Below are 25,602 nucleotides of genomic sequence, written 5' to 3' on the forward strand. Positions count from 1 at the left end.
GGAGGCCGAGGTGGGTGGATCACTTGAGGTCAGGAGTTTGAGACCAGCCTGGCCAACATGGCAAAACCCCATCTCTACTAAAAACACAAAAATTAGCCAGGCACGGTGGTGGGTGCCTGTAATCCCAGCTACTCGGGAGGCTTGGGCAGGAGAATCACTTGAACCTGGGAGGTGGAGGATACAGTGAGCTCAGATCGCACCACTGCACTCCGGCCTGGGTGACAGAGCGAGACTGTCTCAAAAAACAAAAAAGAATATGTTAATAACTACTGTCTATCAGAATTCAAATGTGGATTCACTGACCTTATTATAATTGGCAAAATGTATGTCAAATTGCTAATACTTGACACTTATATTTTGCATATACATACTATCCACTATTTCCAAAAGGGCATATTCTATAAGATCAATTTTTAAAAATAAGGAGATTTGGTCTAAACATGTTTACAAAATAGCCCTGAGTTTTGTTGGTGTGTCACACTAGGATACTAGGCCCATACAATAAAAAGTGTGATCTATATTTTCTTTTTTTCTATTGATTGACTGTAAGTATTACAGCCATTGAAAATATTTTACTTGTGTGAGAAGTTTTTCCTTTTCTTCAGTCTCTTCTGGTGTAAGAGGTTCAGCTCCATCAATCTTTTTTTGCTCTTCTCTTTGAGCCAGAGCTGGATTTGGGATATCAGGATTCCTTGGAACCTATAAATCAAGAGATAAACTAAGAGTAAACTGATGAGAAAAATTAATTACTAAGGCTGTATATACACATATCAATCTTTAGAGTTATTTCAAGAGTAAACAATATAAAATCATAGCCAGAATGACACACGGTCCTCTCCACATTTCTGCTACCATGATCCTATTGAAGTAAAAACCATTCTTGTGCCACATGATATTCCATAGTTAAAACTCACTGGCAAATGCCACATTAGATTTCAGATATGATTATACCCTGGAACAAAGTCTACCCTTATACTATTGTAATATACAGAACAAACAAAAAGTTTAGTGGTAAAAAACAAAAAAGAATCCATATTCCCCTGGCAACACAGAGCAGAATGGAGAAGTGGCAACGCACCTGAACATTACATCCAACAGTCTGATCAGTTCAACATGCAAAAAGAAAGGAGTGCTTTTATTGCCTGCCAAGGTATGTAAGGGGAGAGAGCATTTTTACATAAAATGGAAAGTTTGGAAAAAGTTAACAGGATAATGAAGAAAAAAGAGGAAACAGAGAATATAAGAGGGAAGGGTATAGTAGAGCACACAAATAGCTATGATAGGACCAGTGGTCAAGGAGGAAAAGACTACAACAGCAGTGACCAACAGAAATCATATATGGTGTTTTGGGTACAGAACTGCAAATACAGTGAAAACTGAGAAGAGAACTTGAGTTCAAAAGATAAGGACAGAAGCTCAGCTCTCCAAGAAAGCAAGTTGTCACCTGTATCTCAAAACTGTAGCCTGCAGAGCCTCAGTGTATCACAGTGAGCATATATAACCAATGTGGTTCAGCAGTATGGGGCTGAACTATACTGTGTGTATGGAGGAACAAATGAAGTCTCTCAGCCTAAAGCCTGATACCATCGCTATGTGCATCTGCAGCTACAAGGAAGCACATTGATTTAAGAGGGCAAGTACATAACATGTGTACTACACTTTATAGCATTCCATTAAACATGAAAATAAAAGGGCTGGCAGTAAGCCTTCCACTGCTTGAAATGCACACATGACTCATTCCCTAGGGGCATCAGGTAGTCATGGTTTTACTACCCTGTAATTATAATACACATTAGAGTGCATTTTTCTCATTGTTATATGTATTTCATAGAGTTTGGAACTATATCATTGTAACTTAAAAGTAACTTAAAAATTAACTATTAAGTACAATAGTTCTTCAGGTATAAAACCTAACTGAGCATTAAAAAGAAATACTGAGAAATTAGATTCACTTGTAATCATCAGTATCAGGCAATCAAATTAGCAGGTATTGACTAAATGTCTATTATGTTTGTAGAACTATGATAAGTATTGATTGGAATATAAGCATAGGTTTTATCCCTTATCCCAAATGTTTCAGACCAGAAGTGTTTCAGATTTCAGATTTTTGGGGGTTTTGGAATATTTGCATTATACTTATCTGTTGAGCATTTCTAACTTGAGAATCCGAAATCCAAAAAATGCTCCAATGAGCAGCATTTCCTTTGGACGCAATGTCAGAGCTCAAAAAGTTTTGGATTTTGGAACATGTCAGATTTCAGATTTTTGAATGAGGGAAACTCTACCTATATTAGATATGGTCCTTGCCCACAAGGAGCTCACAAACTAGTTGTGGAATTATGAGCTGTACCTTAAGAACTCTAAGGATCTAGGGAGATGGAGAAGGAAGAAAGAATATTCTAGGCTAGGGGTATGAGCAAAAGCATGAAGGCAGAAATGTGCAGGAAGGCGCATATGGGGTTTATGTTGAAAAGAGATAAGAAACAAGGAAGGGTAGAGACAGATTTACAGGGTCTTGACACTACACAGAAGGTGCTGCAGACTTTTGAACAAGGGAGTAAAGTGTCAAAATGTAGTGTTTTCACCCGGAAGCCTTTTGCTGAATGGACTGAAGTGGGGCAGCGACTAACAGGTAAGAGAACCTGCTCTACTATCATAATCTAGAAATGACGCATGATCATCTGGACTAGGATGGTGGCAAATGGAAATGGAAAAGGTGTACATTTAAAATGAAATGTAGCCCAGTCATAGCATGATTAAAAACAACTTCTCTTCAGTAGCTAAACCCAATGTTAAAATTACAGGCATACCAGCAATTCCATTCCTAAGTATTTACCCAAAGAAAGGAAAATGTATCTATACAAAGACTTTGACAAGATTGTTCACAGCAGCTTTACTCATCATAGCCAAAAGCCAGAAAACAGCCCAGATGACCATCAAGAGAATGAATAAGCAAACTGTGGCCTATCCATACAATGGAATAGGTGTTCCACAATCAAAAGGAAGGAGCCACATAGATACATGGGACAACATGGCTGAATCTCTAAAACATTATGCTAAGTGAAACAAGCCTTATACATATTGTATGATTCCATTTATGTGAAATTCTAGAACAAAAATTTAAAAACCTAATCTATGGAGGGAAAGATCAGAACAGTGGTTGCCTCTGAGGAGTGCATATGGTCACTGGGAAAAGGCACTTTCTGGGGTGACAGAAATGGTCTATATCTTTATAGGAGGAGTTCGAGTTACATAAGTGTATGCACTTGTGAAAAAACATTGAATGGTACACTTAAGGTTTATATATTTCACTCTATGTAAATGTTACTTTAAAAAATCATAAACAAAATATGACTCTGGATAATGACATGCATGTTGAAGTGTTTCTGGGTAAAATGTACTTATGTCTGCAACTTTGAGATGCATAATAATAAGATAAATATCCGTATGATAGAGGGCCAGAGAAATGGAAAAATCGGTGAAAAAGCAAATACCATAAGATGTAAATTGTCAAACATATGTGGGGTATATATGGGTGTTCACTGTACAATTATTTCAACATTTTTGTATTTTTAAAAATCCTTCATAATGTTTTTTTAAAAGTACAGATACAGTTTTAAAAGTTAATAGACCCCTTAAATTGCTGGTATGTGAAATTACTTTGGTTTCAAATTTTAATTTTAATTGAAAGAAACCTCTTTGATCTTAAGATATCCTTCTCTTAAACATTTTCAAAATTTCCATGTCCAACAAACCATATTTTTAACAAAATGAAAATATTTTATAAACATCCAATTCATGACAGAAAATAAATATACCCACATAAAATAAAATAAAACTGTTTATTCCCATGCAGACATCCCCATACTAAAAACTTCCCCTTTCAACTTCTAATAAAAGCAAAATCAGAATATTTTATAAAACCATTAGATTTTAGAATCCACTGCAATTTATTCTATATCCAGTGGTCATATTAATTAACATAGCAAAACAAGAATGACTTCATGAAAGCTATGTTTGCTATTTTAATTCTAGAAATTACTCAAATAGCTGCTAAAATGTTTAGAATTAGAAAAGGCTCAAAGTTTCTAAATTCCTGTATCTCCCTCCTGATATGGTTTGGCTGTGTCCCCACCCAAATTTCATCTTAAATTGTAGCTCCCACAATTCCCATGTGTCATGGGAAGGACCCAGTGAGAGGTAATTGAATCATGGGGGCAGGTCTTTCCCATGCTGTTCTCGTGATAGTGAATAATTCTCATGAGATCTGATGGTGTTACAAAGAGGAATTCCCCTGCACAAGTTCTCTCTTCCCTTCTAACATGGAGGACCTGACTTGCTCCTCCTTGCCTTCCACCATGATTGTGAGGCCCCCGAGTCATGTGGAACTGTGAGTCAATTAAATCTCTTTTCTTTATAAATTACCCAGTCCCGGGTATGTCCTCATCAGCAGTGTGAAAACAGACTAATACACCTCCTATAAAAAAAAACCTTAATAGTCATCATTTTAATAAGACATACATTTTTTTTTTTTTACCTCATGAGGTTCGTATCAGCATTAAGCTTCCTGGAATGATTTCAAAGTACTACATTATGAATTAAGCAGATAGGCCAGGCACGGTGGCTCACACTTGTAATCCCAGCACTTTGGGAGGTCAAGGCGGGTGGATCACCTGAGGTCAGGAGTTCAAGACCAGCCTGGCCAACATGATGAAACCCCGTCTCTCCTAAAAATATAAAAACTAGCCGGGCGTGGTAATGGGTACCTGTAATCCCAGCTACTCGGGAGGCTAAGGAAGGAGAATTGCTTGAACCCAGGAGATGGAGGTTGCAGTGAGCTGACACAGTGCCACTGCACTCCAGCCTCAGCAAGAGAGTGAGACTCCGTCTCAAAAGAAAAAAAAAGAATTAAGCAGACAAATTACAGACCAATAGTACTGAACAGATACCCAGGAGGTATTTAAAGTCCTCATACTCTATGTCTCATTATGATCTCCAGCAACACAATATATAAAATGTTATCTTTCTAAAGTAAAAATCTCAATTATTATTTGGATTTCTACTCAGATGCTAAGGAATTTGTGATTAAGAAATGTATTCCATGAAGTAGTGAAAAACTTTTTTTGGCCTTGTTTCTTAGGAGGAGTTTAGCAAGCATTGCATAGGAAATATGGAGTACTGAATTAAATGTGACACCACACAAAATAAAAGCAGTAACCTGAAATCAGCTCACCATTATTTTAGTTCTACCACTGAAAAAGTAGGTGGCCCACAATGACACATTACCAAAACTCACAAAGATTATGGAACTTCCTCCATTTGTCAAATGTTTATATTTGTCCCTAAAGAATTTTTTATTGGGGATAAATGTTAGAATGTTCTATAGCTTTCTTTAGCTTCGAATGTGGCAAAACTCTTGCATTCCAGGTTTTAGACTCAATGGAACGTCCAGATATTCTGGATTTTTTATGCTGTAATTGAAATTTCAATTAAGTCGTCCTCTTCCAATATAAAGGTTTTAGTGACCAAGTGATTGCATGCATTAAATAACAACTCCTTTAAGTCGAAAGAGCAATGCAGCTTTTGAATATGCCTAAGGTCAAAGCTTAGATAGCAGCAAGAATGGGCACATTATGTACTGCTGTCCACCACGTGGTTAGGGCGAAACAAATACTTCTCTCACCTTCAAATAAAACAAAACTCTTTAACTCCAGATCTTATTATCAGCAATATTGCTGTGACCTTGTGCTGAATATGAGGGAGGGAAAGGGGGAGAAAAACAGAAAATAAAAATGCAAATAACCAGGAAGTACAAGGAAACCACTCTCTACCAACTGCTTCAAAACTTGTGGGCCCTTCACTAGCCCCACTCCAAATCACAACAGAATAAGCCTTTGGAGACTCAACATAGATAAAACGTAACCATGAACCACAGTGCCCCCAGCTATGGGCATCACCTATCTCCCCTTGGCTAACAATCCTTTAGGCAGAAAAGGGGGAAAGAGTCCCTTTTTGAGAATCTGTGTACACAGAATACCAGGTAACTCCACTAAAGCAATTTTGTTTTGTTCATTTGAGGATAAACTAGTGCTCTATTTACTTTGTGGCCCTGATGAGTTTTCTGAAGGTGCAAGGGGGAAATAAAGCAATGCTAGCTATGCCTTGAGAAGATATGTCTAACGGTTATATATCACATCATCCTTAAAAGGGAGCTTTTTAAGATGATTAACATGCCTGCTGATCTGTCTATTCTCTGAACTCAAACAAAAAACCACCCAATTAAAGAACCCACCTTAGCTCAGGTCCATAGTTCCTAGTAAAGAATGGAAGAGACAAGGTCCAGAAAGAACAAATATCCAGAATGTATTCTTATTTGTCACCTAAATCCTCAGCTAAGCATGCATAAGGAGGATCAAGGCAAGTCTTAAGACAATACAGAAGCAATCTAGGATACGGCTGAAGAGAGTCCAAGGCTAGGAGTAGAGTAGTAGGGGATTGGTTCTCCTTCCACCACCACCACTGCAGTCCAAGTGGCCACCATCTTCTCTCATTTTGATACTTCAACAGCCTCCTGGCTGGTTTCCCTAGATAAACCTGCCATTCTCTGCATCGCAGCCAAAGTGATCTTTTAAAAATGTAAATCTGGGCTGGGCGTGGCGGCTCACACCTGTAATCCCAGCACTTTGGGAGGCCAAGGCAGGTAGGTCAAGAGATCAAGAAATCCAGACCATCCTGGCCAACATGGTAAAACCCCATCTCTACTAAAAATACAAAAATTAGCTGGGCGTAGTGGCATGCACCTGTAGTCCCAGCTACTTGGGAGGCTGAGGCAGGAGAATCAATCCCTTGAACCCGGGAGGCAGAGGTTACAGTGAGCCAAGATCACGCCACTGCACTCCAGCCTGGTGACAAAGTGAGACTCTGTCTCAAAAAAAAATTGTAAATCTGATCATAATTTACCATTTATAAGTTGTATGACCCTGAGCAAATTATTCAGGGCAAATGACTCAACCTCTCTATGCTTCAGTTTCCTCATCTGTAAAATAAGGATGTAGTTCAAAGGCTGTTAGGAGGATAATGAGCTAACATTTACAAATAACTTGAACAATAAGTAACACATGTAAGGACTAAGTATCTGCTATTAGTATTACTTTACCACCCACCCACCCACCTCCCTGCCTTAAAAACATCTCAGTGGGTTTCCTTTACTCTAAAGCTAAAGTTCAACCTCATTAATATGACCTACAAAGCCCTCCATATGATTTGACTCTACCCACTCACCAGCCTCATCTCAAGTCACCCTGTGTCTCACCAGTCCCTAACAACACTGGCTTTCTTAAAGCTCCCAAAAGGAGTCATCCTCCTTCCCACCTCAAGACCTTTGCATATGAGGTGCCACCTGCCTCAGCTTTTCTCTCCCACACTTCACTTAGCTCATTCACATCTCTGGAAACTCAGCTTAAATGACATTTCCTTAGGGAACACTTCCCTGATCTCCCAGTCCACATGAGATACCCATGTTATACTCCCTCATTAGCACCCCTTGTAAGCACAGAACCACACAAATGCCACCACCATTACATTGTAGTATCTAATGCCTATCTCCTCTATTAGAATGTAAGCTCCATGAGATGAAAGACTTTGTCTTATTCACTGCTTTATCCCAAGTACTTGGCCCAGTACCTGGCACAAAGGATTGCTCAATAAATAGGTATTACACTTTAAAAAAAGGTCCTCCTTTTACTCTTTTTCCCTCTCCTCTTGCTTCTTTCAGGGAAGTGAGGAAGAGCAAACAATAAGGTGCAATAGCACGAATTCCATGCCATCTCCCCTCTCCCTATTCATCCCTTTCCTCTATTCTTATACCTCTCCTCCTCCCCTTCCTTTCTACCACCCTTAACAGCTGTCCCTTCATTCCTCCATCTTCTGAGGTTTCCTCTCTTCTCCATCTCCTTCCAGCTGGCCACCACCCAAAGAGTCACTGTAAGACTTCACCCCTAACCACAAACTGCCTGTAATGAAAGGCACTGTTTATATTCAAACCAGACCGGTGGCCAGAATGTGGTGGTCACTGTAAATTATCATGGGGAACAAAATTTCAGTATCTCCAAAGAAGGAGCATAAAGTTATATCAGAGATGATTTTTTTAATTGTTGCTACTTGACTACCACTTGGCCCAACTCCCAAATGTCATGCCACACCATTGTAAACACAGTCCTTATTTAGGACTGCAGAAAGAAGCAGGGTTACATCGCATGCAGAAAGAGCCCAGAACGTCTGAGCGGAACGAATAGAACATCTGAATACTGAGAAACTGGTTGTGAGACCAGGACCCATGGCAACCCTGTTAGTTCCATGATCTTGAACAAGGTCATTTAACCTCTCTGAACTTCAGTTTCCTCACCTATTAAATGGAGATGATAATAACACCTACTTCATGAGGTTGTTAGGAATCAACGACCTCAGTATGTGTTAAAGCACTTTGTAAATTATAAAATGTTCTATGCAAATATTTGATTTATTACTGAGGTCTAACATTTCAATTAATTCTCCTTTCAAGTCTCACTAACAACAGTTAATGAACGTAACAGAAAATAATATTCTAAACCTCAAATTATTATAAACCTTAATGAGATGATATGTATTTGTTTACCTCACAAGATAACTACTTCATTATTAAACAATTAATAATTATTGTTAATAATTATCATTAATTTTCCTATTTTTATTTTATATTTGAACCTATAACTTACCTGTTTCTTCTGGTGTATCACTGTTTTCACTTTCTTTGAAACTAGTTTTATGTCTTATATGAATGTTCACCCTAGAGATCTACTCTAGTTCCAAAATATAATGAGTTAAGATATAAGTATCTTATATACATGGAGCTTTTCTAGGCACATTCCAGCTACTAATTAAAATAATGGGTCACAGTTCCAGTTGTGACAAAGGTTTACAAAATAAAATTTAAAACACAGCTGTTAATTCATAAAACAGAACACTTCATAAAATTAAAATAGTGTTAATATTTTATTTTATTTTATTTTATTTTATTTTATTTTATTTTATTTTATTTTATTTTATTTTTGGGACAGAGTCTCCCTCTGTCGCCCAGGCTGGAGTGCAGTGGCGCGATCTCAGCTCACTGCAACCTTCACCTCCCAGGATCAAGCGATTCTCCTGCCTCAGCCTCCCGAGTAGCTGGGATTATAGGCGCTTGCCACCGCACCCAGCTAATTTTTGCATTTTTAGTAGAGACGGGGTTTTGCCATGTTGGCAAGGCTGGTCTCATACTCCTGACCTCAACTGATCCTTCTGCCTCGGCCTCCCAAAGTGCTGGGATTACAGGCATGAGCCACTGCACCCGGCCAGTATTTTATAATTTTTTAATGTTAGTGATTATTATACCTTTGGTCATCTCTCTCCATTCACTAGGAAGTCAATTTCAACATACAGAAATTACCTGGTATGCTTACTCTCCCAATATGACAGATTTAGTGTGACAAATATTAAATTTCACTCATGAAAACTAGGATTCTATCTACCTATATAAATAAGAATTCCAAATACCAAAAGATCATTTTAAAATTGTATAATTCACTATCATGTTTATCATTATCTTTAACACCTAAGTGACTACAATCTACTAACCACCAGCAAGGCTTTCAGCAACGTATAGGCAATAAAGACAGAAATACTATTTCTTGGACCTATTAAGGAAATGATCAAAAATTTCCTATCATATATTAACATTCGCTTTTAACCGCATACCTATTGTTCTCTCTACATATTCTTTAACTATTCAAACACTGGCATTATAAAAATAATGTTATTACTATTTCAAAATATTGCATAATTCTTCATTAATCTCATTTAGTGATGACTGTACTGGTGATTCAGTGGTTAGATGTTTTACATCTAGTTAAACTTCCTCTTTGGTTTTAAAAACATCACTGTTGTGATTTGCTGTCACATTCTCTCAAATTAAAATGCAACACCTTCTAGTCTAGATTAACAGATTAAATTATTTTTAAAGATTATATTATATTAATCTTAAAAAATGGAAAAAATACCTTATAGCCTATTGTCTTCCGATAATAAAGAATTTCCTTTTCCAGGAGCTCAAATAAGCGTGGTGGGAAAAATTGAAAATCCTGAACATTTGGCTGTTTTGGAGGCCGTGGAGCCTATGAGGGAGGAAAATGTATTATATATACTTCTTTTCAGTACATGAAGTAAACTTACTTATCTTTTACTATTTCTGTGATATATGGAACAATAAATACAATAAAATCCATTTATATGGCTGGGCCAAATCAGATACTTTTTTGTACTGTTATATTTTAGAGACTATGATTTGGCAATGATACAAGTAAATCTGACCCATAGATCATGTTGCAACAGAAATCTACTTTAGGACATAAAAACTGGCCTTGTACAGTTTTACCTTTGGAATCTTTGGCTCGCTGACACGCAAAGCCTCTCTAAAGTAGGCATCCACTGCGTAGTTTGCTTTGCGTTCTCGTTTAGGAGGTTCAATCCATTCCACCATGCCAAGCTATACACAACAAACAACAACAAGGGGTTTAATGACTCCAAACAACAGTTTTATCAAAATCAAGTACATCGAGGCTGCAGAAACATAAGGAAGCAAAAGCCATCAGGAAGAATCAAAACTTGCCTTATAAATCACAATTTACCTCCAAAGTTCCAAAACATAGTGGTACACCAAGTTTAGATGCAAAGACAGTTTTCTTTATTTTTATTTGAAAGTAGCTTTTAAAGTTAGTTCTTCCTTGGTGATTGAGAAGAATCTGTACAATCTGGTTTTTTTTGGTCAAATTAAATAAATAAAAGGTAGCTAATATAGACGGAAGAGTAACATTGACTGTGGTAACTGTAATACGTGCATGAATTAGAAGACATTTATGCAGCCAAAAAACACATGAAAAAATGCTCATCATCACTGGCCATCAGAGAAATGCAAATCAAAACCACAATGAGATACCATCTCACACCAGTTAGAATGGCAATCATTGAAAAGTCAGGAAACAACAGGTGCTGGAGAGGATGTGGGGAAATAGGAACACTTTTACACTGTTGGTGGGACTGTAACTAGTTCAACCCTTGTGGAAGTCAGTGTGGCGATTCCTCAGGGATCTAGAACTAGAAATACCATTTGACCCAGCCATCCCATTACTAGGTATATACCCAAAGGAATATAAATCTTGCTGCTATGAAGACACATGCACACATATGTTTATTGTGGCATTATTCACAATAGCAAAGACTTGGAACCAACCCAAATGTCCAACAATGATAGACTGGATTAAGAAAATGTGGCACATATACACCATGGAATACTATGCAGCCATAAAAAATGATGAGTTCATGTCCTTTGTAGGGACATGGATGAAATTGGAAATCATCATTCTCAGTAAACTATCGCAAGAACAAAAAACCAAACACCGCATATTCTCACTCATAGGTGGGAATTGAACAATGAGATCACATGGACACAGGAAGGGGAATATCACACTCTGGGGACTGTTGTGGGGTGGGGGGAGGGGGGAGGGATAGCATTGGGAGATATACCTAATGCTAAATGACGAGTTAGTGGGTGCAGCGCACCAGCATGGCACATGTATACATATGTAACTAACCTGCACAATGTGCACATGTACCCTAAAACTTAAAGTATAATTTAAAAAAATTTAAAAAAGAAGAAAAAAAAGAAAGAAACAGATGAAAGGGGTAAATAATAAATGTCAACATGATAAGCATATATCCCTTCAAATCAAGAGAAATATTCAAATGAGACCTTCTGGAAACACAGGTATGGCAGAGTTGGAAAAGTGGTGGAAACAGAAAGACCAGGATTCTGCTACTTCACTAGTTATATAACTTTGGGGAAATTATTTTTTTCCACCTGCAAAATGAGAATAATAATACTTACCTTGAGGATTACATATGATCATATATGTGAAAGCATTAAGTAAACTGCCAAGAGTTAAATGCAAGATATTATTAAACATCCAAAGTAGCATCAACCATGATTTGGCAGCATTACCAATTTTACCCTATTATCAGCTAGAAAATATAATTTAACAGTCAACAGACAAAACTGACACTACAATGTTCTGGAGTCTGAGAAATGGCTTCCTAATTCATATTTTTCTTTATTTCTGTCCTTAGCCTAGTATCTTTACATAAAAGGGGGCATTAATCCACCATTAGTTGTCTCACTCTACTTGATCTAATCTAAGGGCTGAATTCCAACCTTGGCATCGTATTTTAAGAGTGGATAATAAACCAAGATGACCAGTATGGTTAGAGATCTACAAATTCTCACAGTGTCTAGAGAAGTAATGACTAAAGACAGACACAACGGTGACATTCGCATATGAAAGTCTATCAAATAGAAAAGAACACAGTCCTTCATTGATCCATAAGATTAAAATCAATGTGGAAAGTTAGAGAAAGTAGATGGCTACTCAATATAATTTAACTATTCATTAATTACCTACTGTATTATGTGCAAGTCAGTGTCAGTGATATACACATGAATAAAATAATCTCTTTCATCAAGGAACTTGTAACTCAAATAAAAAGTTTTCTGAGAACCAGAGAATATAAAACAGTGAAACAAACTACCCTGAGAGGGATAAGATTCCCAACACTACAGTGTTCAGAGGCTGCATATCTGTCTTGGATGCTAAAGATGAGATTTCTTAATTACAAGAAACTTAACATAAATGACCTTCTAACTCTAAGAGCCTGAGATACCGATATTATAATGAGATTATTAAGTAAAATGAGAAATTCCCACAGCAATGAAACAAATTTCGCTTTTCCTTCAGATGGATTAATGTGAAGCGACAGTAATGAAAGAGATATTTTATAAATAACCAATATTTTATCTTTCTCAATTGGAGTAAAAATAAATTAATAATAATTTAAACCAACATTCTACAAGTGATGTATTTAGCTATTTAACCTATACTTGTTTGATGGTCTAGGCATTCAAATTTGAAACAAACATTGAAGGCCAATTCCTCAACTTTCAAAAAAAAGAATAAATCATACCGAATTAGTTTACTTTACATAAGAGTACATTAATGCTAACTTATCTGGGTTAATTTATTCAGGATCACAGCCATCATGATTTAATTTACCAGGTATGGTTGTAAAAGTAATGCAACTGATTCAACAAACCATATATGAAAATCTACCTCAATGTATAGTTTCCATGATTTAAAAATGATATTCTTTCAAGTTTTCACTTCTCCTCAAAAGATAATTTAAACCTATTTTAAGAACCTATCTAGAAAACACAAAGAGGCAGAAATAAAATATAATCTCAGCTCAGAATATTCAGAAAAAAATGTGATTCTGGACACCACTGTTACTGTCAGACATTTAATTATAAAAATACAAGTCATCATGGTTATTAAAATTCTCTTTACGCATCATTACTTTGCTAAAATTAGAAGCACAAGGAAACCAGTTACAGATAGCCAAGTATTTTACTAATTTTTCTCTAAAAATGTGGATAAGAAGCTCCACTGGTATTTAGACTTCATTGTTTAAAATTTTTCCACTTCATAAAACACTCCTATTATCCATAAGTCTGCAGGAATAATTGTAAAATTAATAAAACTTATATCACATAATGAGATCTCAAAAGCATATTAGAAAGGCAATTTCCACCCTGTGCAGATAGGCCATCACCTCCATCTCAGCAGGATAAAATATAAGCCGTCTAAGTGAAGATTAGAGATAGGACAACCTGACAAATACAAATCAAGAAACTAAAAGCTATCAGAAGCAGTAACAGAAACAAAGCATTATCAGCATACTAGCTACAGTGCAAAACCAAAATGTCTCACCTCTCATTTTTCAGTAAAATAAGTACCTAAGAATGAGCTTTTTTATTTTAAGAAAATTCATTTCTGTCAGTTCAAAAATATAACAGCTTTATAGAGCAATTTGAGCAACAAAATATATAAAGATAGAACTGGATTATAACTCAAAACATCCATGAGTCCATACTGATATAAATAAATAACTGAAGACACAAATAAATTGGGGAGAAGGGGTAGATCTTCCACACAGAAAAATATCAATTAATAAATACATATAGATGGAATGAAGAAAATACAAAATTACCATTAGGCAAACACCACAATAATAACTACTGCAGGCAAGCTCCACCAGTACATGCTAAAATCAGTGAGTAAAAGTCTGAGAAAGATCTCCCCACAAGGTATTTATCAATTACAGAGGGAAAAATGGCAGACAATGTATTGGAAAGCCTGGATTACCAGGCAGAAGCCTGCCACAGGGGCGCTGCCCTGTGGAGCGACTCTACTAAGGCAATGCTGAGTGGAAATGTGAGGTTGGAACTCCTACACAAAGTCCCCAACAAGGGCACTGCCTAGTGGAATTGGGGGTGTTGCAGGGACCCTAGAATTACAGAGCCACCAGCATCAAGCAACTCCTATCTGGAAAAGCTGCAGGCACCATACTCTAATTCATGAGAACAGCCACGTGGGCTGTACCCAGCAAAGCCCTGGAGGCAGGGCTGCCCAAGGGCTCGGGACCCCATTTCTCACACTAGTGTGCCCAGGATGGGGGAAACAGAGTCAAGGGAGATCATTTTGGAGCTTTAATGCTGGGTTTTGGACTTGCATGGGGCTTGGTACCCCTCTCATTAGGCTGATTTATCCCTTTCAGAATGGAAATGTTTACCCAATGCCTATATAACCATTGTATCTTAGAAATAAATATCTTGTTTTTGGTTTTATAGGCTCACAGCTGTAAGGAACTTGCATTGAGACTGAGATGAGACTTTGGACTTTTTAGCTGATGCTGGAACAAATTAAGACTTTTGAGGACCATTGGGATGGAATGATTATAATCTGCAATGTGAGAAGGGCATGAGATTTGGGAGGCCAGGGGCAGAATGCTATAGTTTGGATATGTTTGTCCTCCAAATCTCACATGGAAATTTGATCCCCAGTGTTGGAGGTGGGGCCCAATAGGAAGTGTTTGGGTCATAGGGGCAGATCTCTCATGAAGGGCTTGGTGTAGTCCTCGAGGTAATGAGTGAGTTCTCTCATTCTATTAGTTCCTGACAAAGAGCCTAGCATTTCCCTCCTCTCTCTGGTACTGTCTCTCTCTCTCTGTCTCTGCCATGTGGTCTCTGCACACACCAGCTCTCCTTTGCCTTCTGCCATAAGTGAAAGCAGGCTGAGGCCCTCACCAGAAGCAGATGTTGATACCATGCTTCTCTTACAGCCTGTAGAACCATGAGCCAAATAAACCTCTTTTCTTTATAAACTACCAAGCCTCAGGTATCCCTTTACAGCAACACAAATGTGCTAAGACAGTAGATATACCAGTTACCCTGATTTGATCATTACACATTGTATATATGTAACAAAATATCACTCTGTATCCCATAAATATGTACAATTAGTATGTGTCAACTAAAAATAGAAGGAAAAAATAATAAAGTCTATTTTTTTAAAAATGCACTGTGGGATACTAGATTAGATCCCCTGGAATCTAACACCAGTTAATTAGATAATTAACCAATGTCCTTTTCCTGGCACAGGAAAGGACATTAGGAGAAAAACTGGTGTTAATTTCCTGGTTGTGATCATTATACTAACATGTAAATTGTTAATATTAGGGGAAGCTGAGTGAAGGCTATAGGTTAGCTCTGTACTATTTTTACAACTATTTTGTAAGTCTAAAGTAATTTAAAAATAAAAAGTTTTAAAATCTCAGCCTTAATTTCAGTTTAAAAAACAAGATAAATAAAACCCCCATTTCTTCAACAGACCACATGTAACAAAGTCCTTCTGCATTTAAGTAACTAAATGTTACTAATATTATTATTCATACAGTTAACATTAAGTGTCAGGCATTATTCTAATAACTTTATGAGTATTAACTCATTTCATCATCAGAATCCCTCTATGATGTAACTATTATAACCTCCATTTGATAAATGAGAAAATTGAGAATACCCAGAGTCACTTAATTAGTGACAAGAGTTGAGATTTCAGCTCCAGAATTCAGGAATTCAACCTCAATCCTACACTGCTTCTCAATAACAAAAGTAGTACTAAGCAGTAGTAGTAGTAGTAGCAGCAGCAGCAGCAACAGCAAAAATTGATGATGATGATGATGATGATGATGACGACGACGACGATAAACCAATAAAATAAACGAAAGATATACCTTGCATGAGATATTTAGACCTATATCAAATTTCACTCTAGAGCAGGGTATTATAATAGGTAAGTGCCAGTGTTATTTTATAATTGTTATGGGGAGAAATGCTCATTTGAGGGTCTAATGGTTGAGAGTAAAAAGTTACCTTCTGTTTTTCTCTATAATCTTCTCCCTCAAATTTGTATAAACTTTGTTCAATGTCCATTCTAAAATTTCTTAGAGAAGACTCTCCCATTTTTTGCAGGCGTTCATTCATCTCTGCAGTCTAAAGGTGAAAACATTGAAATGAGAAAATTATCACTGAATTACTTGTAAAAGTCTGTGGATTCTCTACCTTTTTAATAGTCAGGTTTTGACATGAAATATCCAGTCTGCTAATTTACAAGGTATGAATGCAATGCTAACATCAAACCTGAAGTGCAAATTTTACTTGCCCAAGTATTTCAAATATTTAAATGGTGCTTCCCAAGTACTCTCACTTAGGCTTTCTTTAAAATCTTTTGTCAGTGAAGTTGTACCCACATTATAATTGCTCTTGCATAATTTAAATGGGACAAATAGCTAAAGCTAAGAGAAAGGCAAAGATGGACTAAAAATACACATTTTGCATACTGGTATGAAACATATTAACACAAGATCATTTAAAATGCAGGTTATTACCTGAACTACAAAATTCTTCTGAAAAGCAAATTCAACCAGTTTACAAGATATGCAACAAACATAGTAAAATACACCATGGAGATGAAATCAGCAAAATCCACACTGTGATTAACTCAAAAGGCAAACAACCTAGTCTTTTCATCAAATAAATTACAAGGAATACAATACATGGCAGGAGAGGGGGCCTATAGATTTTAAAAGATAGAGATGAAATCTCAACCATGGCAATTTGTATTTTGATTTGCATTCTGATTTAAAAATGAAAAGAAAACTTTTTAAGTATAAATATTTACGACACAATTGTAAATTTGAATACTAACTGGATATTTGGTGTTATTAAAGAATTATTGGGGTTTTTCAGGTGAGACAATGTTATAATGATTATCTTTAAAGAGTCCTTCTATTTTAGAAATACACAGTGAACTATTTACAGCTGAAGTATGTCTGAGATTTGCTTCAAAATAATCCAAGGAGGGGAAAGATAACTGGGGATATAGACAGAACAGGACTGGTTGATGGTTGTTAGAAACAGGTGATAAGTACTTCGGGGCTCATTATACTACTCTGTCTACTTTTACTTATGTTTAAAATTATCCATAATTTGTGGAGAGGGGAAGGTGAACTAAACACAAAATTACAATATTCTGAAACAACTTATTATGCTTTAACAAATAGTGATTTAGCATTTCATGAAATGTTTTATAAAAGATTTTCAATTAACCAATGTATCAGTAGATGATTTCTAGTCCAGTGCAAAAAAAAAAAAAAAAAAAAGATTATAAAAATACAGTCCTGGTCAGGCATGGTGGCTCATGCCTATAATCTCAGTGCTTTGGGAGGCAGAGGTGGGAGGCTCACTTGGGGCCAGAGGTTCAAGATCAGTCTGGGCAACACAGCAAGGCCCTGTCTCTAAAAAAGAAAATTAATTAGATGTGCATGTTGGTACATGCCTGTGGTCCCAGCTACTCAGGAGGCTGAGGTGGGAGGATCACTTCAGCCCAGGAGGTGGAGACTACAGTGAGTTATCATTGCACCACTGCACTCCAGCCTGGGTGACAGAGCAAAACCCTGTCTCTTTAAAAAAAAAAAAAAAAAAAAAAAGCATTCCTTATACATGTGATTAAACACAAAATTTACTTGGCTTTTAGATATAGTATTTTCAATAAAGCATTAGATATAAGGTCACTCAATTTTAAACTCTGGTTCTTAGTCTTTCTCACCAAAAAAAAGTTTTAAAGCCTTAATCTACCCCTGGAAATAGATCTACAAGTTGTTGGAGAGAATATGAGCTACCTGAAACATGTAGATAATGCAGATAAACATGTACAATGAAAATATAAGTATGCTGAAGTATGTTGATATTAAAACAATCCAGCATGAAAATAAAATGCTATTTTAACTAACCTTCTTTTCCCCTCTTTCCAGAATAGTTGTAATGTCTTCATCTGTCAACTCACTCTCTTTAGAAGCAAAAACATGGGTGGCTCCATGCCGTATCATTTGTAACATTTCCTCTTTTGCCAGCTTGTTAGACTGTTGGTCAATGAGTCTTCCTAATGATAAAAATTGAAATTGTACATATTCAATCAATCATATTCCAAAGAAGGCATAATCATTCTAATCAGACATTATCACATTTAACCACACATAAAGCTTTAAAGAACAAAAAATTAGTGAGCATTAAGGTTATTTGTTTAATAAACCCTACAAGTTTTTCTTCTAGCATACTTTCTATTTCTATATAAATTCCCTTCTGTAAAACTCAGTTAAAACCCAGAAGGACAGAAACTTTTTTTCATGTTCAAACTCTGTTTTCAGATCAAACTTCTCTATATGAAAAGGTACCCTCTAATATGTTTTCAAAAATTTAAAAGTAGCCATTTTATCTGCTAAATAATCTCAGGTACTTCAAAAAGCATGCTACTGACATTCAAGAATAAGCTAGTGATGTTCAACTACTCCATATATCAAATGCCAGGGTTTCAATTCAGAAGATTTCAATTAGCATTTTTTGTTCGTTTGTTTGTTTGTTTGTTTGTTTTTGAGACAGTGTCTTGCTCTGTCGCCCAAGGCGGAGTGCAGTGGCGCGATCTCGGCTCACTGCAACCTCCACCTCCCAGGTTCAAGCAATTCTCCTGCCTCAGCCTCCTGAGTAGCTGGGACTACTGGTGCACGCCACCACACCCGGCTAATTTTTTGTATTTTTAGTAGAGACAGGGATTCACCATGTTGGCCAGGCTGGTCTCAAACTCCTGATCTCAGGTGATCCACCCGCCTCGGCCTCCCAAAGTGCTGGGATTACAGGCATGACCTACCTCACCCAGCCTCAATTAGCATTTTTAAATTTTTTCCTTTTATTTTTAGGTGATACATAACAATTGTACAGACTCATGGGATACACAGTGATGTTTCAATTTTTCCTCTAAGTTTTCAAATTTTGGTCAACTTTTATTAAAAGTAATCTCCTTTGAAGAAAACTACATGTGTTTTACAAAAAACACCTAATTAAGTTTCTATGTATAAATACCTTGTTGTATAACAATTGAATCGAGTCTCAGTTTTATCTCAGCTCTTTCTACAATCCTCTCTTCAACAGTGTTGTCAGTGATGAGACGGAATACACGTACTGGTTTCTTCTGACCAATACGATGTGCTCGATCCTAGTAGAAAGAGTTCTAATGTAAGATATTGGATATTCTGGATAAAATTTAGAGCCATCATATGCTATAAAATTCTAAAAATAAAATTAGTTATTTTTCTCTAGATCTGACACTTTGGAAAAGAGCATGATGAATATTGAGAATATCTAAAGACCACTGGGAACAAAGAAATCTGCAAATATTATATTGTACCATTAATGGGAAACTTCCAGGACAAAGGGCAAAGCACCTGTAAGATGAATAAAAGAGGGAGCTGAAAGTTTCTGGATTGAGTTACTAAGTAACTTTAAGCCACTAAATATAAACATCTTCGAAACTAGCAAGGAATTTTATTAAGTAGTTAGGGTTGCTATGGTGGCAAAAGTCTGCTTTATTTCATCATCAGGCACTTCTTTCTGCTTACTGAGGGATATGCAGTAAAGAGTTATAAAAATTAATGGGATATTACTATCCTTACTATTCAGTAGCCTAGGACTGGTCCTATGGTTTATAGTTGGTACAGGTGACAGGTGGCGAACTTCTAGTGGTATAAAACCATCTAGGGAGAGTATTTTTAAAACACAGAAGCTGCTAGAGCAAATAGGTAAAGGGAGGAGGGTGGTAGAGAAAAAAAAAATGTAAGTTCAAAACAGGCCTTGTACTAAATATAAAAACACTAGAGCCTAGTAACAAAGTTTCAACACAGCACATTTTTCAAACAGAATGCAATCCCCTGCACATATTTACATTAAACCTGAACCAGCAAATCCTGAAAGATGGGATGCACACTAAGACTTCTACGGAAATGAAGTGCTATCACTATTAGATTTTCCAGTTCAGTAACACTGTAACTTACTGGGGCTTACTCCTAGTTAGTCATATCAAACAGGTAGTTCAATACCATCGTAATGCAATAATAATTACGCCAAAGCATATTGATTTTGGAATGTCCCAGTGGTCAATCCCTTTCAATTCTCTATTATAAAAGGAAAGCCTTCTAAGTTATACCTCATTGGCATATGACTTTTCATTGCTCCCAAAAAGACACTTATCCATAGCTATATATTCAAAACCTAAGAAGTTATTTTGCATCTTTTTACTTCTAAATTATATTTCTTTATCTGAAAATGTGAGTCACATTGAGAGAAGTTGTAGCTCTAGTTCAATAAATGACACCAAAATATCAAAGGGGTTACCTGTAGTGTCATGATGAAAGGTCAGAGAAACTTTGCTCCCTAAAAAAAAATGTTTTTAAGTGTAGAATAGCTTTTGCATGGTATCATTATTAAGTAGCAAGTGTTTTTCTGGAATATATTCCTTTCTTACCTTTTTGCCTTCTCTCCCAAATTGTTTTTTATGAAAGTTAAAATCCTACCTCTCTTAATTTCAGTACTAAGGATTTTAATATATTTAGTTGTTGAACAGAATAATAACAAGAGATTGTTTTTTAATCCTTTTCATTAAAACAAATTTATGTGTCCTCTTCAATCTGTAGGAATGGGAAAAAACTGACATTTCTATTTCATGAAAAAAACCAAAATCAACACATAAATGCTATAAGTTGGATCTGGGGTGTGTTTGTTGTTCGCTTTCATTTCTTTTGTTTTTGCAATTAGCATAGCAACTGTGTTTTCCAGGATAATCTACTGTAACTTCTATAAAATCTCTCAAAAATTGTTACCTTTTTATCATAAATGACCTTTATGTGTGTAAATAGCAATAGTATTCAGAGCTATGATAAATTTCTGACACCATTAAAGATTACTAACCATAGCTTGTAGATCAACCTGTGGGTTCCAGTCTGAATCATATAGTATAACCACATCAGCACTTGCCAGGTTAATTCCGAGACCTCCAGCCCTGGTACTTAGCATAAAGATGAATTTGCTACTATTAGGAGCATTAAAAGCCTCTATTGCTTCCTTTATTTTTTATTGATAAAGGGATAGAAGAAAAAGAGAAAAATAAAATTAGACCATCAGGGTCCTTAAGAAACAAATAAAAACATTTAAAATACATATAGAAAATCTTCACACACTTTATAATATTCCTTATAAATATACTTTATAATATTCTTCCATCTTCAAAAATATGTAAGCATCTATACATATACTGTACTGTGTGAATTTCTGTAGAAAGTATATTATATAAATGAAGTTCCTAATCTTTAAAAGCTTACATCGATAGATACAAATTTAGAACAATTACATACACAAATTTAACTAAGCAAGTAATAATTCATTTACATTATTTAAAAACAATAATAATGAAAACGTTTTGAGTGAGAGCTGAAATATATCTAGGAGGTAAAATATCAGAAATCTCAACTTCATTTCCATTAGCTTATGAATGATTAGTTTAGAAGATCAACCAACAGAGAAAATGGTTTACAAATGGGAATGAGGGCAACGGATAAAGGGGAAAGTAAGAAGATTTCTATCAGTATGGTAACAAGGAACAAGCAGGTAAGTAATGAAGAAAATCAGGATGACAATCCAGGGATATTTAGTAAAGAATGTTAAAATTAATATGAATATTCTTACTATATAAAGATCTCATACAAATTAATTAGAAAAACAAAGTCCAGTAGAAAAATGAGCAGAAAAAAAGAACAGACAACTCACAGAACAAATACAAATGGTTAGAAAACACAATAATAATGTTCATTCTCGCTAGTAATCAAATAAATGCAAACTAAAACAACATAATAACATTTTTGAAGATTTAAAAAAAATGATAATACTCAATGTTGATGAGGGGGCGGTGAGACGGGCACTCTCATACATTGCTGCTGGGAGTATAAATTGGTACAACCTTTCTGGAAAGCAATTTGGCAATATGCATCAAGAGCCTTAAAAATGTTCATACCCTTTGACCCAGAAATTCCACTTCTAGGAATTTATCCTAAGGAAATAATCAGAGATGTGCACAAAGATTTATGTATAAGGACTTTCACTATAGCATTATTTATAATAGTGAAAATTTTGAAACAACCTAAACGATCAAGAATAGGGGGATGAATTACTTATAGTACATCCATAGGGTGAAATATTATCCTAAAATTACTTTTACAATTATTTTTTATGGACATTAAAAAGTACAATATAATATTAAGTAAATAGTATCAGGATACTGTACTTTACATATAGTATATGAAGTCTGATACCAATTACTTATACATATTACATATACCTAAAAAGATAGGCCAGAAATACTTGTATTTAATTTCAAAACTTCCTTCAGCAGTCATATATTACTTGCATAATCACAAAGTATGGGCAATCTTTTTTAAAATAAATGGATGGCATGGTCAAAGTTTCAGGCAGAGAAGGTAACTACCACCGTCACAGTCAGCAGAGCAGGTAAAGGGGGCAGTATAGAAAGCAGCGTGGTGTAGTGAGAGGCACCTTGGCGTAGAGGAAATAGCAAAAACTTGGGCATGAATCACAACTTCACCACTGATTACATCTGTGATTCTGGGCAAGTATTTAATCTCTCTGAGACACAGTTTCAAATGGAGAAAATTATACCAATACTTTACCGCGCTGCTGGGAGAATTCAATTGGAACTTTAAGTTGCCTAGCTTATAGTAGTTGCTTGACAAATGTTAGTTCCTTTCCCTATAAAAGTGAGGAGGCCAATTAAGCAGAGGTTACAGGAACTGAGTCAGACGATGACCAGTGGCTTTGTTAGCTGAATTTAGCTGTAGTAATGGAGAAAGGGAAAATCTGAGAGCTGTTGAGAAAGAATTACTTATTCACAGCTGGCACACAATCAAAGTAAGGAATCAAACGTGGTCTTCTTCTTATTGGGAAAATAGATGAAATGATGGTGTGGACAACATAAAGGGAAAGCAGGGCATTTCCAAGAAGAAAGGAACAGCTCTGACTTTGCTATATTTAAAGTCAATACATGAAATTCAGAGTCTCTGAGGGGATAACATTGTTTGGAATTTTTAAAAACCAGAACAATTTGGACATAAATAGGTAAACAGTAGACAGCTCAGTCAGAAATGCAAATTGGCTATTTGAGGTCAGAAAGCACGTACTGCTCTGCCATGATATTCTCTTTGTCCTAGGAAGAAGGATCATCCTGAATGGTACCATAGGGCCTTATTTAGTATGGATTCAGGGAAACCAATCCTCAGGAATAAGTCAGCAAAAGCTCAGTAACGCTTCAAGTTGCCATCTCAGAGAGAGTGAAAAAACTATAGCACACGGAATAGTGTAAGCCTTGAAATATCCTCATACGTATAAATGTTATTGCAACTGTTTCCCCATAGAGGTAGCAGTAAGACCTTTAATATGAAAAGGGTCTGTGTGCTTGCTGTGAACACTATGCTATGCTAGAAACAGGCTTCAATAAGGAGGCACACAAGGAACGGAGTGCCCATTGCAGCTACAGAAGGAGAGGGATGCGGGCTAAGAGAGAGTCCTTGTAGCCTGAGATGGGGCCCTAAAGGTGTAAGGGAGAAAGGCCTGGGTGCAATTTCATGACCTGCAGTACGTACTGCAATATGCCGTTTAAAACTGTGCTCATACCTATTATATCCTCACAACATTGTCAGAGAAAGAAGCCTAGTTGTTACTATCCTTAGAATTACAGCTACTGAGGCTCAGAGAATTAAATGGCTTGCACACGCTGCAAAGTGGTGAAGTTGGTGCTAAAATTCAGGTCTTCTGAAACCAAGTTCAGTGCATTTTCCACTATACCATAAAACCATGATCTTTACCCAAAGCATGAGTACAGCAGGTCCTCAAGTAACATCATTTCATTATAAAACTGATGACAAAAAAACAATCAATTCCTGGCCAGGGCCACTGTCCATATGGGTTTTGCATGTGCTCCCCATGTCTGTATGAGTTTTCTCTGTGCCCTCCCACAGCCCAAAGCTGTGCACAAAAAGCAAATTGGCATGTCTACATGGTCCCAGTGTGAGTGGTGTGTGTGCGAGCATGCCCTGTGATGGAATGGCATTCTGTCCAGGGCTAGTTCCTGCCTGGGGTCCTGAGCTGCCAGAAGAGGCTCCAACCACTGTAATCCTGAACTGGAATAAGCAGGTAAATAATTATCTTACTTGTTTTTATTAATCTTTCTTAAACGTATGTATGGCTCACATTTATTTCCATGTTTAATATTATAAGTGTTTTGGTCTTTATTTAGAAGCTTGGTGATGTCTTTGTGACCAGAAATATGCCACAGGAACTGGGGTCTTGTCCTGTCACACAGTTTGAAGTGCAGTGGCACAATCACATCTCACTGCAGCCTCAAACTCCTGGGCTCAAGCCATCCTCCTGCCTCGGCCTCCAGAGGAGCAAGGACTACAGGTGCATGCCACCATGCCTGACTAATGCTTTTTTAAATTTTATTTTATTTTATTTTTGTAGAGACCGGGTCTCGCTATGTTGCTCAGGCTAGTCTTTACTGACTAGCCTCAAGCAATCCTCCTGCCTCAGCCTCCCAATCCCAAACGTTGGTATTACAGGCATGAGCCAACACACCTGGCCAGAACTTAAATCTTGTTTATATCAATTAGCCTAAGATAGAATTGATTTCATCATACATTGTTTTGATTGACGTCGCAGTTTCTATAAGAACCTATCTTTTTTTTTTTTTTAGACAGAGTCTCATTATGTCACCCAGGCTGGAGCGGTGCAATGCCATGATCTTGGCTCAATGCAACCTCCGCCTCCCAGGTTCAAGCAATTCTGCTGCCTCAGCCTCCTGAGTAGCTGGGATTATAGACGCGCGCCACCACACCCAGCTAATTTTTTTTTTTGCAACGACATTAAGTGAGGACTTGCTGTACAGACTTAAAACAGAAGCCAAAGACAGAGCTCTGAAGGATCACAGAAAACAGAAGATAAATTAGCAAAGCCTTCCAAGCAAAAGTGCTTTAAAGGGTATTAAACGCATTAGACCCATGACATTTGTGAGGAATAATCTAAAGATCTGTAAGAATTTCCATGTTTGAGAAAAATACTGCATACTAGATAAGCTTACTCACTAAGTGACTCATTCCTGCAGGCCAACCTTTTAGTGTCCCAATGTTTAAATT

At 36.6% G+C, this 25,602-nt stretch overlaps 1 protein-coding gene across 7 annotated transcripts in view; it reads right to left on the bottom strand.

The window, feature by feature from the left end:
- Positions 1 to 25,602, bottom strand: part of SMARCA1 (SNF2 related chromatin remodeling ATPase 1) — a 76,985-nt gene that overhangs the window by 24,122 nt on the left and 27,261 nt on the right. For 4 of the 7 annotated variants that reach the window (NM_001282875.2, NM_001378264.1, NM_001378263.1 and 1 more), the window contains exons 13-19: positions 21,314 to 21,466; positions 19,433 to 19,565; positions 18,310 to 18,458; positions 16,391 to 16,510; positions 10,448 to 10,558; positions 10,074 to 10,187; positions 577 to 699 (exon numbers count right to left, since the gene is read on the bottom strand). In NM_001282875.2, the coding sequence (NP_001269804.1) occupies positions 577 to 699; positions 10,074 to 10,187; positions 10,448 to 10,558; positions 16,391 to 16,510; positions 18,310 to 18,458; positions 19,433 to 19,565; positions 21,314 to 21,466 (903 nt within the window). Of the gene's footprint in view, positions 1 to 576; positions 700 to 10,073; positions 10,188 to 10,447; positions 10,559 to 16,390; positions 16,511 to 18,309; positions 18,459 to 19,432; positions 19,566 to 21,313; positions 21,467 to 22,412; positions 22,449 to 25,602 lie in introns of all 7 variants that reach the window. The other 3 variants (NM_001282874.2, NM_001378261.1, NM_003069.5) reach the window with 1 other exon arrangement.

Source organism: Homo sapiens, chromosome X (genome assembly GCF_000001405.40).
Source record: "Homo sapiens chromosome X, GRCh38.p14 Primary Assembly".
NCBI lineage: Eukaryota > Metazoa > Chordata > Mammalia > Primates > Hominidae > Homo > Homo sapiens.